Raw genomic sequence first — 6,958 nt, forward strand, 5'->3', positions numbered from 1 at the left:
GTGGAATGTGCTGCGGGGTCTTCCTGGTGTTGAAGATGGGAGGGATGGCAGGGAAGTTGGGGGAGACAGAGGGCAAGATGGCATGAACCCCAGTGGCCTCTGCAGGTTGATGTGGGAGGCCTAGGGAGTCGAAGGACAGGATATTCTGTGAGCCTAAGATTGCCCCTCCCCCCACCCCCAGATCTATCCCTATGAAATGCTAGTGGTGACCAACAAGGGGCGAACCAAGCTGCCACCGGGGGTGGATCGGATGCGGCTTGAGGTAGGCAAGGAAGATGCCCTGGATGGGTGCGGGGCTGTCCACGGGCACTCTCCTGCCTGGGGGAAGATCTGGGGCCTCTATGAGTGAGTGTCCCCTAGGTCACTGGGCACAGCCCCCTCCCCCTCCATGCTGAGCTGCCCCGATTCCCCCATGTAGAGGCATCTGTCTGCCGAGGACTTCTCAAGGGTATTTGCCATGTCCCCTGAAGAGTTTGGCAAGCTGGCTCTGTGGAAGCGGAATGAGCTCAAGAAGAAGGCCTCTCTCTTCTGATGGCCCCCACCTGCTCCGGGACGGCCCCCTTACCCCTGCTGCTTCAGGGTTTTTCCCCGGCGGGTTGGGAGGGGCAGGAGGTGGGGTGGAAATAGGGTGGGCTCCTTTCCTCAGGTAGAGTGGGGGGCCAAAACCTCTGCAGTCCCCGGCAGTGAGCTATGGACTTTCTTCCCCCTCACAAGGCTGGGGGCCTCCTGCTCTCGTCCCTGGCCCTCCCTGCACAGGGCAAAGCCAGTCTGGGCTCTGGCACACAGAGTTCATGTTTGCGCCCTCTCCCTGCCCCTCACCCCAGAGGGTGAGGAGGAATGAGGGGCATTGGTGGTTAGGCCGGTTGGCTGTCTTGAACAGCTGGAGGGAAGATGCAGGGGTGGGAAGCGGCCAGGCAGAAAGAGCTCCAGGCTCTTGTGTCGCCCACCCAGCCCTCCCATACTCACTCCTGACAGCTTTCCTGCACTGCAGCCTCCTGCTCCTCTGACTCTAGTGGGAACAGGCCCCAGCTCAGCCTCCGGCAGGGAGGTCACCCCTCCACTTCAGCTTGCCCTGACCTCCGCTCGCAAACCCCGAGCTTCCAAGCCTTTTGCTCCAGCCCTGCGGCTTCCCCAGAAGCCTGGGCTTAGGGTGGAGATGCCGCCTACACACGATCCTGGCCCTCCACCTGCCTCCAGGCCACGAAATGGGAATTCCAGCACTAAGCCAGGCACCGGGCAGAAGCTGGGCCTTCCGCCTCCCTTGGATGGGGTCAAGAGGCCAGGCCTGGCACATTTTGGAGTGTCCTGGCTACCAGCTCTCACCTACACCCACGCACCCCCCCACACACTATGCTCTCTCAAGAATGTAATTTATTGGGGCCCCCCCAGCTGCTTTCCTCACCTGCCCCTGCCCTACCTTACACCCCCAGCTTGACTTCTTTCCAGTCCACGTGTGTATATAATGATATCTATATTTTTGCCCAGGTCTGGGTATTGCTCCTGCCCAGACCCTGACATCCCTTTCCACTGTGTGTGTGACCATGCTGGGGGAGGGGGACTCTGCTTGGAATTAAAAGGTTGCATTGGGTCCCTACATCTGTCTTTTCCTTATGAGCCACCAGACCTGGGTGAACGAGACAAGCCATATCAGGCAGAGGGAAGCCCTGGGAGCAAGGGTTCCAATGCAGGGGCCGCCTAGGGCTGGAGGGCTGGAGACACAGCCCCGCAGTACTCTTTCCCCCAAGCCTGGGCCACAGAAGCAGGGGCTGTCTAGACAGGGGCCTGTCTGCCTCTCCTTCAGGGACTCTGTGATGGGGGCAGGAACCCTTGTGTTTGGGGCCAGAGGGAACTCACACCTCAGGGAGGAGGCTGGTAGAGAACTGGCTGGGAGGAAAGACTGCCCCAGCCCTCCACCAAATCCCAACGTGCTCGCCTTGGTAGCCAAGCTCAACATCAGACATGGTTGTCCCTCCCAAGGGGCAGGGTGCTCATGGTTCAATGGGGAGGCCGAACACAGAAAAGGTCAGCAGGATGTGAGTGTGTGGTGAGCTGATTGCCAAGAATCAGGCAGGGGAAACTAAGGAATGGAGAAATGGCAGTTGGAGGACGAGTCAAGTGGAGGCCAAGGGAGGAAGATGGGAATTTGGTCTTGGTTGACTTGGTAAGGCCTCCCAAGGGGAAAAGACAGGGAATTGCGTGTTGCGGGTGGGAGGTGGGAGAGGGGCTGCGGATCTGACGGGAAGACCAGAAGGAGGACTGCCTGCAGGTGTGGGTGCTTACGTGGGGAGGGGCCAGCCCCACCTGGCTGGAGCAGAACCATGTGTGGGCACATGAAGAGGCGTGCAGTCAGAGGGACCAGGTGAGTTGGAGGGTGCGCAACTTGTGAACCTGCGACTGGAGCTGGGGCCTAGCCTGAGTACCCTGGTTGAGTTCCTAGCCCCTGTGGCTGAAATAAGCAAAGTGGATAAGAACCCCTCAAATGTGAACGATTATTTTACATTGTAGGAGTTCTGTTGCATCCACAACATCATTTTATCCCTTCAGCAAACCTATGAGGTCAACAGAACAGATCACTGTCATCTTCTTAGCAAATGAGAAAATGGTGGGACAGAGACAATTCCTCTGAAGCCCAGAGCTACAGGAAACCAATGAGTGGAGAGTGGTGACAGGATTCAGGTTTCTAGGACTTTCCCAATAGGTACTGTTGTCTGTGAAGGAGAAGCAGAGGAGGGCAGACTAGGAGGGGCAGAAAGAAATGGGCTCTGCACACATACCCAATACAAGGCATTCAGAAACTGCTGGGGGGCTTAACCCTGCTCTGAGCATGGGGAACACAGCAGTGACCAGGTTGACGTGCCCGTTGTCCAAAAAGAGCTCCCAGGCTGTTCGGGAAAATGTCAAGGTCATTGAACCCTAAGGGGTGCTGGAGACAGGGTTTGGGAACTGTATGTAGTACGGGCAGGTTTGACCCTAGGTCCCAAAGGATTTTCAATTCATGAGAATTTAGAGCATATACATGATGGGATATTACTCAGCCATAAAAAGGAATGAACTAATGGTATTCACAGCAACCTGGATGGCACTGGAGACTATTATTCTAAGTGAAGTAACTCAGGAGTGGAAAACCAAACATCATATGTTCTCACTCATAAGTGGGAGCTAAGCTATGAGGTCGCAAAGGCATAAGAACGTCACAAGGGACCAGGCGCAGTGGCTTAAGCCTGTAATCCCAGCACTTTGGGAGGCCGAGGCGGGAGGATTGCCTAAGCTCAGAAGTTTGAGACCAGCCTGGGCAACATGGCGAAACCCCGTCTCTACTAAACATACACAAAATTAGCTGGGCATGGTGGCACACGCCTGTAATCCGAGCTACTCAGGAGGCTGAGGCATGAGAATCGCTTGAACCTGGGAGGCAGAGGTTGCAGTAGGCCGAGGTCGTGCCACTGCACTCCAGCCTGGGCTACAGAGCAAGACTCTGTCACAAAAAAACAAACAAAAAACCCACGATGGACTCTGGGGACTCAGGGGGAAAGGGTGGGAAAGGGGCGAGGGATAAAAGACTACAAATTGGGTGCAGTGTATACCGCTCGGGTGATGGGTGCACCAATATCTCACAAATCATCACTGAAGAACTTATTCATGTAACCAAACACCACCTGTTCTCCAATAACCTATGGAAAAAAAAAAAAAAAAGAAGGCTGGGCGCGGTGGCTCACCCCTGTAATCCCAGCACTCTGGGAGGCCAAGGCAGGTGGATCACCTGAGGTCAGGAGTTTGAGACCAGCCTGGCCAGCATGGTGAAAACCCATCTCTACTAAAATTAAAAAAAAAAAAAAATTAGAGCAGCTCAGACTGGAGCTCTTTGTCCCTAAAACAAAGCCTTAGGAAGAGCCTCTCAGTGCCTCCTCCCCACAACACACACATAAATAAATAAAAAATGAAAAAATTAAAGCATGAGCAAATTATTTCACATTGAGAGTCATTGACTATATGGCTTTTTTTTTTTTTTTTTTTTTGAGTCAGAGTTTCTCTCTTGTCACCCAGGCTGGAGTGCAATGGTGCAATGTCAACTCACTGCAACCTCCACCTCCTGAGTTCAAGCGATTCTCCTGCCTCAGCCTCCCAAATAGCTGGAACTACAGGTGCCCACCACCACGCCCGGCTAATTTTTTACATTTTTCGTAGAGATGGGGTTTTCACCATGCTGGCCAGGCTGGTCTCAAACTCCTACCTCAGGTGATCTGTCTGCTTTGGCCTCCCAAAGTGCTGGGATTACAGGCATGAGCCACCGCACCCAGCCATATGGCCTTCTCCTTGAATCTGGCCTTCATGCCTTGCATGTTTAAAGCAGCTTACCCGTGTTACTCGGGAGGCTGAGGCAGGAAGATCACTTGAGGTCAAGAGTTTGAGACCAGCCTGGGAAACATAGCAAGACCCCATCTAAAAAAAAAAAATGAATACATAGGGGCTGGGCGTGGTGGCTCACGTCTGTAATCCCAGCATTTTGGGAGGTCAAGGTGGGCAGATCACGAGGTCAGGAGATCCAGACCATCTTGGCTAACACGGTGAAACCCTGTCTCTACTAAAAATACAAAAAATTAGCCGGGCGTGGTGGCGGGCACCTGTAGGCCCAGCTATTTGGGAGGCTGAGGCAGGAGAATGGCGTGAACCCAGGAGGCAGAGCTTGCAGTGAACCAAGATTGTACCACTGCACTCCAGCCTGGGCGACAGAGCGAGACTCCTCAAAAAAAAAAAAAAAAAAAGAATACATAAAACTCAGTTTACCGTGAAATCATCTTCAACTCTTCATTTAAGCTGATAGGAGAGGCTTTTTTCAAAGGTCTTCCCCTAAATGGGCTAACCTGGCCTCAGAATTTAATAAAACCTCATGGTCTTTGATATTTCTGGACTATAACACATGTAGTGTGTACACTGACTTTTATTAGAGTTTTAAAAATAACATGTAAAAAGTTAAGTCGAATAAAAGGTTATGAACTCCTGATGTACTTTCATTATCCCCTAGAGTCCTCTGAGACATGCTGAAGGGAAGCAAGCTGATTTGACCTATCCAGCCTGGGTCCTTTACCTGTGAGGAGGTGGGCCTAGAAATCTGCAGAGACTGAATTGGAACTCCCACCTGTCAGAGAACTGAGGTCCCAATCAATTCTCACTCAGCCTGGGCTTGGCTGAACCCTGGCCCTCCTCAGGGCCTGAGGCCCAGACACTGGCCACCCTGGCTCAGAGTCTGGACTGCAGGCTCCACACCACAGCACAGAGCCCACTCTGGGCAGGTCAGCATTTCCTGTGCCTCAGCCCCACTGGGGAATGGGTCCTAAAAGGTGAGGCAGGTCCTGTGAAGCCCGAGACCCCAAAACTCTAGGTTCTATAATTCTGACAGGGGCTATTCTTCCTTCCCGAGGGAAACTGATTCCTTTCCCTCTCGTCATATTGAGAGGTGACAGCGTGCTGGCAGTCCTCACAGCGCTCTCGGCGCCTCCTCTGCCTGGGTTCCCACTTTGGCGGCACTTGAGGAGCCCTTCAGCCCACCGCTGCACTTTGGGAGCCCCTTTCTGGGCTGGCCAAGGCCGGAGCCGGCTCCCTCAGCTTGTAGGGAGGTGTGGAGGGAAAGGCACGAACGGGAACCGGGGCTGCGCGCGGCGATTGCGGGCCAGCTGGAGTTCCGGGTGGGCTTGGGCTTGGCGGGCCCCGCACTCGGAGCAGCCGGCCGGCCCTGCAGGCCCCGGGCAATGAGGGGCTTAGCACCCGGGCCAGCAGCTGCGGAGGGTGTACTGGGTCCCCCAGCAGTGCCAGCCCACCGGCGCTGCGCTCGATTTCTCACCGGGCCTTAGCTGCCTTCCCGCGGGGCAGCGCTCGGGACCTGAAGCCCGCCCATACCGGAGCCTCCCACCCGCTCCGTGGGCTCCTGTGCGGCCGGAGCCTCCCCGACGAGCGCCGCCCCCTGCTCCAGGGCGCCCAGTCCCATCGACCACCCAAGGGCTGAGGAGTGCGGGCGCACGGCGCGGGAGCACGGCGCGGGACTGGCAGGCAGCTCCACCTGCAGCCCCGGTGCGGGATCCACTCGGTGAAGCCAGCTGGGCTCCTGAGTCTGGTGGGGACGTGGAGAACCTTTATGTCTAGCCCAGGGATTGTAAATACACCAATGGGCACTCTGTATCTAGCTCAAGGTTTGTAAACACACCAATCAGCACCGTGTGTCTAGCTCAGGGTTTGTGAGTGCACCAATCGACACTCTGTGTCTAGCTGCTCTGGTGGGGCCTTGGAGAACCTTTGTGTCAACACTCTGCATCTAGTTAATCTGATGGGGACGTGGAGAACCTTTGTGTCTAGCTCAGGGATTGTAAACGCACCAATCAGCGCCCTGTCAAAACAGACCACTGGGCTCTACCAATCAGCAGGATGAGGGTGGGGCCAGATAAGAGAATAAAAGCAGGCTGCCCAAGGTAGCAGTGGCAACTCGCTTGGGTTCCTTTCCACACTGTGGAAGTTTTTTTCTTTCACTTTTTGCAATAAGTTGCTGCTGTTCGTTCTTTGGGTTTCCCACTGCTTTTGTGAGCTGTAACACTGACGGCAAAGGTGTGCAGCTTCACTCCTGAAGTCAGCGAGACCACGAACCCAACAGGCGGAACTAAAAACTCCAGACGCGCCGCCTTAAGAGCTGTAGCACTCACCGCGAGGGTCTGCAGCTTCACCCCTAAGCCAGCGAGACCATCGAACCCACTAGAAGGAAGAAAGTCCAAACACATCCGAACATCAGAGCAAACTCCAGACGTGCCACCTTAAGAGCTGTAACACTCCCTGCAAGGGTCTACAGCTTCATTCTTGAAGTCAGTGAGACCAATGAACCTACCAATTCCGGACACAATATGATGTCAGTGATAAGCAGAGACACTGGTTTTTGTTTCTTAGAGAGACACTATTTTGCTGTCACCCAGTCTGG

The 6,958-nt window shown here is 54.6% G+C and overlaps 1 protein-coding gene across 70 annotated transcripts in view, besides 1 other annotated feature; it reads left to right on the forward strand.

The window, feature by feature from the left end:
- The window catches only part of DMTN (dematin actin binding protein), a 33,595-nt gene extending 32,001 nt beyond the window's left edge, over nt 1-1,594 (forward strand). For all 70 annotated transcript variants that reach the window (NM_001387727.1, NM_001387726.1, NM_001323397.2 and 67 more), the window contains 2 exons: nt 182-262; nt 419-1,594. In NM_001387727.1, the coding sequence (NP_001374656.1) occupies nt 182-262; nt 419-532 (195 nt within the window). In that variant the 3' untranslated portion in view covers nt 533-1,594. The remainder of the gene's footprint in view (nt 1-181; nt 263-418) is intronic.
- Nucleotides 5,250-5,859: an enhancer, noted in NCBI's record as "H3K27ac-H3K4me1 hESC enhancer chr8:21943692-21944301 (GRCh37/hg19 assembly coordinates)". NCBI's record gives its function as "activates a minimal SCP1, AML or CMV promoter by ChIP-STARR-seq in primed H9 embryonic stem cells {active_cell/tissue: H9 hESC(primed)}" and the evidence as "EXISTENCE:reporter gene assay evidence [ECO:0000049][PMID:30033119]".

This window comes from Homo sapiens, chromosome 8, assembly GCF_000001405.40.
Source record: "Homo sapiens chromosome 8, GRCh38.p14 Primary Assembly".
NCBI classification, from domain to species: domain Eukaryota; kingdom Metazoa; phylum Chordata; class Mammalia; order Primates; family Hominidae; genus Homo; species Homo sapiens.